This window comes from Homo sapiens, chromosome 8 (assembly GCF_000001405.40).
Source record: "Homo sapiens chromosome 8, GRCh38.p14 Primary Assembly".
Lineage (NCBI taxonomy): Eukaryota > Metazoa > Chordata > Mammalia > Primates > Hominidae > Homo > Homo sapiens.
Genome location: NC_000008.11, coordinates 71,726,511 through 71,739,022, shown reverse-complemented (window position 1 = coordinate 71,739,022; position 12,512 = coordinate 71,726,511). Strand labels below are relative to the sequence as shown.

The 12,512-nt window shown below is 37.7% G+C and overlaps 1 long non-coding RNA gene across 1 annotated transcript; it reads left to right on the top strand.

Moving 5' to 3' along the window:
- The first annotated feature begins 1,045 nt into the window (after nt 1-1,045).
- LOC107986890 (uncharacterized) lies at nt 1,046-7,345 on the top strand. Its single transcript, XR_001745718.2, has 3 exons — nt 1,046-1,171; nt 2,056-2,172; nt 3,449-7,345. It is a non-coding gene; the product is annotated as an uncharacterized LOC107986890 (long non-coding RNA).
- The last annotated feature ends 5,167 nt before the right edge of the window (nt 7,346-12,512 follow it).

The window sequence follows — 12,512 nt, the reverse complement described above, 5'->3', positions numbered from 1 at the left end:
CTTATTCATAGTAGCAATAAAAAATGAAAGAAAAATACTTTACTGAATAATTTTGAATTTTATTTTCCTGACATGGAACACTCTAATGATTTGTGAAAATCTTTTGTGTAAGAGAATATTACTCTGAAAAATATTTGTTTTGTTTTATGGAGAAAAGTGTGAAGTTTTGCTTAAAAGCCTTTTGATGAAAATCTGATTTTATTCATGTATGGGCAATTCTTTTAAATTCTAAAATGTTCAAGGAAATCTAAAACCATTTCCCTGTTTTTGAAATACTAAAAGATTTTGTTCTTTTTACTGATGTTGAAAAGGCTTCCACATCAAACATTTAGTGTTTTCACAGTGTTATACTTTGTTTTTAAAAGAAGCTTTTTACCTCAAAAATTGTAAGTGGAATGAATTTGGAAGAATCTGGAACCTCAGGTTCATCTTCTACTGAAGATCACTTGTCCACTTATCTTGGAGAAACTGAATTGAATGGAGGGTTTTTTTTTCACTTCTTACTTTTTTACTTCTCTTTCCTATAACCATTGCCTAAAGGCATTTGGGGTTTAATACTAACTCACTTTGTTATGCAGGTATTTACTTAACGAGCATTTCTTGCATGCCCACTGTGTGCCATGCCTTATAGTGGTCCCACAGCAGAAATGCAACCTATGGCATGCCCTTGCACTCCAGGAGCACATAACCCACATAGCATGTTCATCCCAGATCAGAGGGCCAACAGAGACATTTATGACAAATCATATATTTTGTTGTTTACTTTCTCATGATTCTGTGAAATAAAATGTTCCATTTTACTCTGGAAGAAATGTTAACACTGAATCTCACTGAATCTTAAATCCATGTATATCCTTCCCAACTTTAGTACGGGGAGTTTCAGTATGGATCTCCCTGTACATCCTATTTTTTGTCATGGGCTATGGGAAATAAGATTCAGGAATGTTTTAAATCAAAGCAGGCCAAGTGCAGCAGAGGTATTGGCTACACTTAATCAAAATGTTTTAACTCCTCACCTGAGCTCTCTGGCTGCCTCCCAGAAGCCCTGAAAAGCAGGAGCCAACTGCATGAGCACATATGAGTTGGAGCTCTCGGCAACAAATGAAGCGGAAAAAGAAGTCAAACTTGAATGAAAAGCCTTCGTGAAGCTCGCCACTGAACCATGAGCAAGGTAGGAACATAGAGGGAAAAATGAAGAGTGTGTTTATAACCATTTATGGCTTTACTGAAAAATATGAGTAAACCCAATTGAGTACGATGACTCTTTAACAACTTAGTTTAAGTGACTTATTTTTAGTTCAGCCAGCGGCTTCTCTAAGGGGTAAGAGAGAGACGAGAGAAAGCAGAAGCCTTGCATGTTTAGTTCCTCTGCTCCTGAAGTGTGCCTCTGTCTGCTGGCCTCCCTGAAGAACAGGCAGTTGGCCTTTGCAACATTTTGGCCATAGATCTGTCCTCCTAAAGATAATAATTTGCTTGAGCAACTTCCTGTTTTAAAGACACTCCCTGGGGCTTTAGTAGCCCTGAATTATAGAAGAGACAAGACGCCATAAGAATGTTAAAGCTGCAGACTCTGCACTAACCATGCTCTGGAAACCCCTCAGAAAACAGAAGGAACACTAATAAATGCAAACAAAAAAAAACAAAAAACAAAAAAAAACCCTCTAATTTTAACTCTTATTTTTCTCTGTCTATTTCCAAGGTAAGATACCACAGGGATTGGCTTCATAGGCATTGGGTAAAGGAAGCAAAGGTCTGGGGGAAAAAAGCAGAGGGGAGGGGGGTAGCAGAGAGAAGCCAGAATCTAGACTCGAGATTAATAATGTCATCACAAGATATCCCTTGACTTCATAGACTAAGGTGAAATCACTTGGTCATTTCCTCTTTCTCATAAAAAGATCAGAACACCTAGGAAACACTTTCTGTTGTTTATTACCATTGTCTTACAGGCCAATGACCAATTATGAATTGATGGGAGGTTCAGTGGGTTTGGCTGAGAGGAAAAGGAACCTTATCATAAATTTGCCTGGTGAGGCCTCATTATTTTAAAAATTTCAGGAAGGCTTCCAGTTTAAAGAGAGGCTCATGATGGTAGAAGGCTTTACAAGCTCAGCCTGAACACCTGGAGAAATTATGTCCAGGAGGAAAGACATTGGTGCTGCAGGCTTTAAAAAGGTAAAAAAGTTTTTCTTTTTTTTTAAAAAAGACCCCTATAAAATATACCACAGGAAATGTAGTAAATTTCATCTGTAGTAAATTTCATTCTCTAAGGACCAGCTGAAATGTGTCAAGCTATTTCCTCTTTAAGAAAAAAGAAGGGATTAGAACATTAATATCCTCAAAAAGAACACTTCTCAAAAAAAAAACCACATATTAAAAGTGACTGTAAGTTTCTGAAATCATGAGTAAATTGCTAGAAAATGCATACATGAACTTTGGTTTACATAAGTTCAATTGTTGAATATCATCTTGGAAGAAGAAAGTATTTATAGTTCGATTTCTAAATCGGAGGTTTGTTTTACACATTTATTTTTCTAAAGGCTTACTTCCTTTGACTAACACTCTAAAACAAAAATTACCTATGTAACTGAATAAATATACATGAGGAAAAAAGAAAGATTTTGTGGGTAGAAAGGTATTTTTCTCAATAAGGTGACTAAAAGCCATAGTAAGATAATAAGAGACTCTGAAGAGTAATATAGTCCCATAAACCAAAGATCCAAGATCCTCTAATTATATCACCAAATGTTGCCTTCAATCAGAAAGAAGTTCATAAATATATATGCAAGTATTTTGTGCATTCCAAAGAATCCTATAAATATGAGGCAATGTTGTTATTATGGATCCTCGTATGGAAACAGCCTCTTCTAAGTGAGAGAAACAAAACTCCAATCAGAGTCTGGCAGGGAAAGTGTAGCCCCATAGTGAGGAAAGGAAAACAAAGGATGGAATGCTGGGCCTATGCAAGGCAAAGGAAAATAAACTTATAGTAAAAGTGAAGGGGTAAGACCCTGATATTTAGAAAACTCAAAAAAAGGTCTTCTAATTAATGATAATCTGGCTGTTATTCCATATGGTAAAAACAAAACCAAAAAACTCAGTGGGTATAGTAAATGTTTTCCAGGGTAAATGGGAAGGAATCTGTTAAATAAAATAAGAAAACATTTAAGGAAACCCATAGAACATGGATAAAAGATGCTTTCACCCTCTACATCAACTCCAGTTGATTTATTTTGATGCTAGAGCAGTAGGTTAAGAAAGATTCTGAGGCTGTATCTTAGCTCATCAGGAAAGGAAGCAAAGATCAATTGATGATGGCTACCTTGGGCAAAGAAAGGGGAAAAGGAATAGAGGTCCAGTCTTGAATAAAATGAATGAAATAAGGGTCAACTGAGAGCAGGATTGAGCTCAGCCAAGTGATGAATGGCCTATTATCTGTTTTTGTTTCCAGAACATTGATGAATATATGAGGAATAGCTGAGGATGTGCCGAATTGTGAAAATTTCTGCCTAGAAGCACAAAATCATGAAAAGTTGTCCTGATTGCAGGTGGCGTAAAAGTCAGAGACTCACTCTAGCATGAGACATGTGATAGAATAATCTGTCAGCAAACAGGCTTTCTCTAGGCAAGAAGTGGGTCTATGGCAGTTACTTTCCACTTGCCCCTGCAGACTCTCTCTCCACCTTTCTCCACCCTGGTGGCCTGCTGACATCCCCCCAAGGTAACTGACTTTTAGGGACTGCCTCCGTGGCTTCTCTTCCCTGTGGCTTCCAGTTGGATACAAGTCCAGTTCACCCAATAAGAGGTACCAGCAGGAGGTCAGAGGCAAGGAAGAGAAAGGCATCAGTTCTCTCTCTGCTAGGTCATAAGTTGGCAGTGTCTCATTTTCTTTTCTATAGCGTTGGCTATGGCTCTCTCTGGGTCCTGGTAAACTTTCCCTCTCCTTCCTCTAATGGCTTCCTGCTGTTGCTGGCTATCATGTGCTTCCTTGTGCCTGTTGGCTTCCCACATCTTACAAATAGTTCCTTTATTAAAGTCTCCTCAATTACCCATTAGAATGTAATATCTTTTATTCTAATATAGGACTAATATAGGTGCCCAGAGATACTTTTCTCTCATTGCCTGGGGCTACAGTAGTAACCATAAGGGCATTAGGGAGCTTTACAACCCTCCTCCTACCCTCATAATTTCCACAGAGCCTCCCCTTCTTTGACAATTGATGTTATCTCAACAAAGTATAAAGGATTCTATAAATGAGAATTCAATACCCTCTCCTTTTCAACAAGATGACCCCTGCCCAACCCACCCCCCACATATAAACCAGCTCATCTATATAAAAATCTGGCTCTATACCCAGGCTTAACAGGATTAGCCATGTCTGCACAGACAAAATTATCTGCTTTCCCTGCCAATGCTCTTAGGCCAATGTAATCAGGTTAAAATTTTCATCAAAGTCAGTATTGAAGGAGAGAAGAAATCATAATATATGCAACGTAAAATAAGTTAACACAATAGTATACTGAGTGAGGTTTTAATTGTCGATCCATAAGAGGTGTCAAAGAACCCACATTGTAAAGGGGGTTTCAAGTAATTGGAACCAGAAGTTTCTGCCAGGTCTGGTACTTTGCAACCTCTTCTTAACCACAGCTCCTTCAGACCTCAGTCTATATAAACAGAAGACTAGAAATTGAGGAGAGGAAAAAAGATACAATTGTTAGAATCACTAGTTGTCGACTTTAAAGGAGAGTGCTGGCCATTTGCCACCCATCTTTGAACAAAATGTGGAGTACAGGAAGTGCTTATACCTCTCCAAAGGAAAATGAAAGAAAGTTGAAGTGAATCGTCTACAAACATTGACGGACCTTCAAGAAGAAAAGAACATCATCTCATTTACCATTATACAGACATCACTTTTAATAGTTATTTAGATCAACAGACTGGCTGGTCTTCCCTTTTCAGAAGGGGGGTGGGGTTGGGGGAATAAAGGAAGACAACAAGAAAGTCAAAGGAAAGGAATATGAACAGCCTGCCCTCAGACCCATGCTGGAACTATCTTACTGGAATCCCACTTGAGAAGACTGGCTGCTTGGGAGTTGCTCCAACACCAGGAGTCTGTGGGGTTTACTGCTGGGGTCAAGAGCTGGAAAGGAGTTGGCAAACAGCAGGGCTATAGCAGAATTCCTATACAGGCAACTGTGCAGTGAGAAACACCCTTCTCCCACTCACAGCCCCCTGAAGAGCCCATCCCTGTGCCCTGTAGAGCCGGCAGATCAGCGTCAGTTCCAGAGAGTGTATCAAGTTGCTGTCAGTGTTACCCAAAGAAGAGGAAATAATGGAAGGATTATATCTATGGCCAGATAAATAAGACAGCCATGTCCCATCTGTATCCGCCTCCCTAATGCAACACAAGAACCAGAAAAGTAAAAGAATGATTCAAAATAAGAGGCCACTGTCCCTGCCCACTGCAGGGCCCTCCAGCCTAGTGGGAGGAGGATAGAAGAGGAAACAAACATCAAGTAGGATATGAGTTGTATGCATTAAAGAGGACTTCATGAAAATTGAAAGTGACCACAAAGCAATGAAATGCACTCAAAATCACTAAAGAACAAAGAAAATTTTACAGAGAATATTTGAAGGTGGTGATTGAAGCAAAAAATTAAACTGAATTGAGGTTGATCAAGTTTGTGAACTCTTTGTACATATATGAGATTGTTCATTTTCAGAACTACCTGGAGAAGCTTTCTTTCTTCTTTTGTCCTCCCTTTCCAAGCTGAAAGCCAAATTAACTGTTCAGTCACAGGAAAATACCTCACCCTCACCTCAGTGTTCACCCTTCCCCAGCCTAAAGCATGGCTGGTGCCAGCTTATTCAAGAATTAGAAAATGGTGCCCCCGCTGGGCAGATGCAGCCCCATAGGCATGCACCCAACTGGGCAGCACAATGTTGCTATCCCTATGGCCTCACCCCTTTGAATGGCTTTCTTTTCAATATCATAGACTCTAATAAAGACATGTGGATAGAATTCAAAGCCTGTGGGAACTTGATCTTCTGTCAACCTTCATCCACGTAAGGTCATCCACAGAGTCACATATGAAACTGTGGAGTCTCATATTTTTAATTCCTTTAAAGACACGAGATCCCCTTCCTCACCAACTTGCTTTCCCTTCTCTTCTAGTGAGCTCTCCCTAATGACATGTTGAAATATATTCAGTAGTTGCAGTCTATTTCCTAGTTCTAAATGTGTTTAGTTGAAACAACTCAATCTTAGATTTTTAGTTGATGTTTAGTGTCAGAAAGATGTTTCAAAGGAAGTGTAAGTCTAAGATCATTTTTAATATTCCTCAGTGGCATCTCACTAATCAGTAAATTCCAAATCCTCCCAAAAGTCTAGAGGTTCTACTGGCTTCTAATCAAAACAAGAAACTAGGGAGGAGTACAATAAGCTCATATTGCAAAAGCTTCTTCATTCCTTGGTATTCACCTTATGGCAGTTTACATATACTGAAGCATTTACTATAAACATTGGGAACTAAATTATTAAAAAATGAAAAATATTTTATTTTATGAAGCAGCAACTATACTGTCTTTACTTGTATTTTTATTCCACTTCTTTCTGATGTAGGGGTCTGATTCTTTTCACCATTCGTTAAAAATAATGAGCTTTGGTAGAGAGCAACTTTGGAAAGGTGCCCCATATATTTTATCAAGAAATGAAAATCTACCACTACTTACTCCAAACAGCACATGTAAGGGAAATGTGAGATATTTTCAGTTTGAGGGTATTTTGGAGCCATAATAAATATCATAAACCAATTACTTAATTTTATTTGCAGTGCAATGAAGTGACAGTAAGCCAACATCACTACATGTGCCATTGTATTCTGAAGGATATTTTAAGAGACTTTATGCCCAGTGGAACTACAAGGAAATGTTCCACAGCTTGTGCAATTTAGTCAGCTAAGCTCTCCCACATTTTATGTCTCCTAATCCATCCAAGATATTAATGTGTTTATTGGCTACGTGTGAATGAATTTTTCCAAAAATCCACTAACCAAGGAAACTATAGGTTTCCATTCTTTTTTTTGTTCCTTGTGGTTAGAATTTCCCACTGTTGAATTTTGATGATTGTATCACTGCGGTGTCATTTAACATTTTCCTCTGTTCCATGTAAAAAAGTACTTAGAGCTTGAATATGTTTTTGTTTTTGTTTTTGTTTGTAAGAATAGTTACAAGTGATGCTATGTGCTTCTGTCAGTAGGGAAATAATTTTGAGTTGTCTCTCTTTTTGTGATGTTGCAACTATTGATGATCATTGTTAAGATCCATTAATAAACTAGCATTTTGACAAGTGGTGATATTCTATCATTCCGTCTTCATTTATTTGGTGCAACATTTCTATAAAAACACATTTCTCCTCATGAACTATTTGATTACCCTGAGATACAGTTCATATAGAAAAGGTACGTTAAATGCTCATTTTTTTCTTTTATTTGTTAATTTACAGATGAATAAGTTTGTTCCCTAGCATCCTCCAAAGATAACTATTACAGCTTTTTCCCCTTGTGTCACTCTGAACTCAGGGATTTAAACATATTTCAATCCACTGAAGTTGTTATTATTAATGTTCAAATTATTCAATCTTTGGCCAATGACACCATTGTTAAATTGTCTCCTGGGTCCTTTTGATGCCACCCCAAAAGTTTCTATTATTTCCTTAGTTTCTGATGTAAAAAGACCTTTCCAGTCCAATCTTGTATATTTTTTTACTCCAGATATTTTCTCAGTACATTTGTGTCAGTCTGGTACCTTTTAGGAACTATAAAATGGTCACTCTTGTCCTTTTTCAAAAGTATCATGGGTATTTTATTGCTAAAATTTGCAGGAGATCAACTAACAAAAATATTCAAGTTACGGTCAAGAAAAAAGGCTAGGAAAAATGAGGAAGGCTTTTTTAGCGTAGTTTAATTGCATATCAGCCGATTAATGAACATTGGTCTATTAAAGTATTTTTTTCTTAGCCTTCTAATTGCTGGAACTCACATAGAAAACACTGTGAAAATGAGAGCCTGCCCTCCTCCTCCTTCCTCAATCACCACATGTAAAGATTTCAACACAGTGCTGGTGCTCTATAAAGGCTATTGTTTTTATTACTATTAACTGGATTCTCAAATCTTTTTTTCTTATTCAAAAAGTATAGAAAGAAAACCAAAAAGAATTCAAATGAAAGGGGGGAAATGTGCTCCCAAAAGGCCAAGTAAGAGCTGTTTTGAAGCTGCCTCCACTGCTATCTCATTGAAGAGACCTGAAAATTACATTTCCCAGAATTCCCTGCTCCCCATAGTTTCTAGTTTAGATTGTGCCACTGATAGGCACTTATGGAAGATTAGACGGTGGAAGAACAGAAGAAGTGATGATTCTCTAGAGCCTTTCAGGCAGCACAGGGGCAGCCTTGAGGTTCAGAGTGACTTCCAGGCAGGCTTTGTGAGAATCACTGTGTTGGGGCAACAAGCTGAGATTGGCTGATTGACAGGAGAAGCTTCCCAGAGGTTCTTGAACTTAGCCCCTGCCAGGTGAGATTTTGGGAAGGTTGGCCACTGCAAATGTCTCTCCTGACCTTCACTCTTCAAGCCTTCTGAATTATACAAGCCTTCAATTCTTTGTATTAGTTCTTTCAATTTGGAATACCTAGAGTTTTGTCTATGTTCCTGACCAAATTCTGGCTGAGTTTATCTTCTCAGCACTACAGATTAAGAATCATGGGCAGAAACATCTCAGGTTTTTCGCTTAAGTAACTGAGGTTTGCAACACTTCCTCTCCTTCCATTTCATATTTAATCCAGGAAGAGAATAAGAAAATAATCATCCTATAGAAAAATTGACTTGAGATACGTGTTCACAGAAAAGAAATGCAATTGTGCCTTAACCACATGAAAAGATGCTCAAACTTGCATACAATGAAAGAAACGGGAATTATAGTTAGATACAATATTTCTCATTTAACATATTGGCAAATATTTAAATGTTTTGACAACATACTCTATTGACAAGGGTGTGGGGAATAGACATCTTCATATAATGTTGATAGGAAGACAAAATGTCAGAACCCCCTATAGAGGAAAATTCAGCAATATCTAAGAAAATTTCATAAGCATTTATCCTTTGACCTAGTAATATTTTCAAAAACTTATCTTAAAGGTACACAGGCAAACATACAAAAATAAATATACACAAGGCTACTGATTACAGCACTTTTTGTAATAGGGAGAAAAAAAACTAGACACTATCTAAGTATCCATCACTGAGAGATTGCTTGAGCAACCTATGCTACACATACATACATTGAAGTTCTATGAAGTTGTTAAAAGGAGTAAGAAGTATCTCTATAAACTGTTACTGGGTGACGAACATAGAGTATTTTAAGTTTAGAAAAAGTAGCAAAATGTGTGTATACAATACTCTCATTTATTGAGAAAAAGAATATAATTTGATTATGTAGATTTGACTTTATAACCATGTATATATTTCGCATAATTATAAAACAAATTAAATTGATACATTTTTTAAATCCCTAAAAATTAAAAATAACATAAAACAAGTGAACCAAACTGTGTAACAAGTTGGTAGCATAACCACACAAAGAGGCAGTTTTGCAAGTGAATTTGTTACACAAGTACTTAACTTACATCATGTCTATGGTATATCTAAAAGAAGAAATTTAAATATTAATCTTTACAGTAATTATATTCTTGTTACTATTATTCTGAGACTGTTTTGAGTATATTATAAAACAAAGAAAAAATGAATTTTTTTATTGGCATCATTGAGAACCAAGATTTTTGTAGCGTGATAAAGGAGGTACAGATGCAAGTCTGATGGAATTAAGTAAAATCCCTAAATCCCTGAATTTGAATTGGAGGTATCAATGTTACCTAATGATTTACACACACACACACACACACACACACACACACTTCCTAGTCTGCTCACTGAAAAAGCCTAGGAACTATGGCCAACACAGGAGCAATGAGTGTCCCTAGTGCATAAATTGTGGCCTCCAAATATATTTTTCTTTTTTTTCTGAAAAGAACTAATGCTCCTTAGAGAAATAAGCTGATTCTAGTTCTAGGGCATACAATGAACAAAATGAGACTGCTGCATCTCATCATAACTAAAAAGCACAAAAATGCTATCTAGTGTCTTGTCAAAACGACCAAAGTACCAACTTAAAAAGGCTTTCCTGGCTGAGCATGGTGGCTCACACCCGTAATCTCAGCATTTGGGGAAGTCAAGGAAGGTGGATTGCTTGAGCCCAGGAGTTTAAGACCAGCTGGGCAACATGGCAAAACCCCATTTCTATAAGAAACACAAAAAGTTAGCTGGGCATGGTGGTGCATTTGTAATCCCAGCTACTGGGGAGGCTGAAGTGGGAGGATCACTTGAGCCCAGGAGATTGAGGTTGCAGTTAGCCGTGATTGTGCCACTGCACTATAGCCTGGGTGACAGAGTAAGACTCTGTCTCCAAAATAAATAAATAAATAATAAGTAATTTAAAAATGTAAAAAGCCTTTCCTTAGCCAAGGAAGAGACAACTGAGCATCAAGAAGAGTAACAGCAATGGATTGAAACATATCAAATACGTTTAAATCCTCAAGATCACATTGATTCTAAAAACAACAAAGAAAATTCACATTAATGGACTTTTGAGGAAAACTGGTACATGAAGAGTGAATGCCTAGTAAATTAACGTCCTTTTTCACCGTAAGCCAGTCGACTTTTCTGCCACATTGCCTTGCTATGAGGGTTCTTTCTGGACATTTGCTTTAGAATCCAGAGTTCTATCAGCCTCCTCTTATTACACATCTAGCTATTACTGTCCCCATCTATTAATACATACACAGAGGGCTTCATCTTTTATGCTATTTAGTTCTCAAGGAGACACAAGCAGCCTCCAGAAAACAGTATCTGATTAATGTTTATTGAAGAACTCCTGTGTGTCCGAGACACTTATCCCTGGAGATACAGTAAAATCCAGGCTGAGTCCCTGCCGTGGAGAAGCTTTTATTCTGACAGAACCCGGTTTTACATGCAGGAGCAAAGAAGGCGATGAAAGTGAGGTAGGTGGTCAACTGGCAGATGATTCTGACTATAATGCATACGATAAAGGAACTCGTAGGACATGAGATGGAAGCAAGAGGGAGGTACTGTGAACATATGTTTCCATGGCTATTGATTTCTCCTTATTAAACAAAACCTTTAACAAAGTATTGACATTATGCATTTTAAATGTTCTGTCTCTTTCTCTTTCACTCAGTTCAATTTCGTATTGAACAAAACCTGGATTATTCATCTCGTCACCCTATGGCTTCAGCAAACGTGAATGTGAATACCCCAGCATAATAGAAGCTCCATTTAGTAACATACTACTTGAGTGTAATGACTCTTTTCCTCTGAGAATTGGTTTTGAAACACAACCAAACTTATTCAGAGGAAACTCATTTTGACTGTAATGGCTACATGTGTAATGAGATTAGGCTGACAGAACTCTGTTCTTTTGATTTTTTTTTTTTTTTACAGACTAAAATATATCAGATTCAAATGTCTTTTTCTCAATCTGAGAGTAAAATAGGAATAATTTGTGAGCCAGTGGTGGTTTACAAGTGTACAAAGCTTGTAGTTTTATTCTCTCCACACAAAGACTGCTTTTATTTCAGATAGAACGCTCTAGCTTGGGAGTGTCAATTCTAACATCTAAATCTCCAGGTAGAGGCATTTCCCTTCCCAGGAGTCTAATAAGCATGCCAGAAAATCACATGGAGCAGAACGCTATTGTGCCTCATGCTAGCCTGGGACCATCGTCCTGTTAATTTCCTGGGGCTCATGTGTGTTTTGTTAACTCATCAATTCAGCAGTTTCTGTTTATTTCAGGCTTTACCATGTATGTCAGAATAATGGAACGTGGGTGGCATTTTGTAGGCAGAAGGGGATAGACTTGTCAGAAACAGGTCCCTGGGTTTCTGAAAATGGGCCCTGCAAGAATTCATCTTAAATAACAAACTCTGGTGGCACTCTATCATTCTAGGCTGAAATGTTTCTGCTTGCTTAAAGTACTGTATGATTTTATTTAGAGTGTGTTACATACATACCACACACACACACACACACACAGACTAATTATCTGAACACATCTCTGCACTCTTTTGGAACATATAGTTTGCATAATTCATTTTGGCTTTGATCATATACTGCCTTGCATTCTTAACACTTTCATGTCTGTAAATTCTATTTATTACCCTAGCATAGAGTACTTAAATCATGGAAGAATGAAATTAGGTGTGTTTATATCTGTCCTCCTTCCCCCTACTCCAGTTCTCAAAACATTCCTTTGTATATAACCATGGTAACCATAGCTAAAGTCGTACAATAATTGAGCCAGGCAGCCGGGTGCGATGGCTCATGCCTGTAATCCCAGCACTTTGGGAGGCTGAGGCAGGCAGATCATGAGGTCAAGAGATCGAG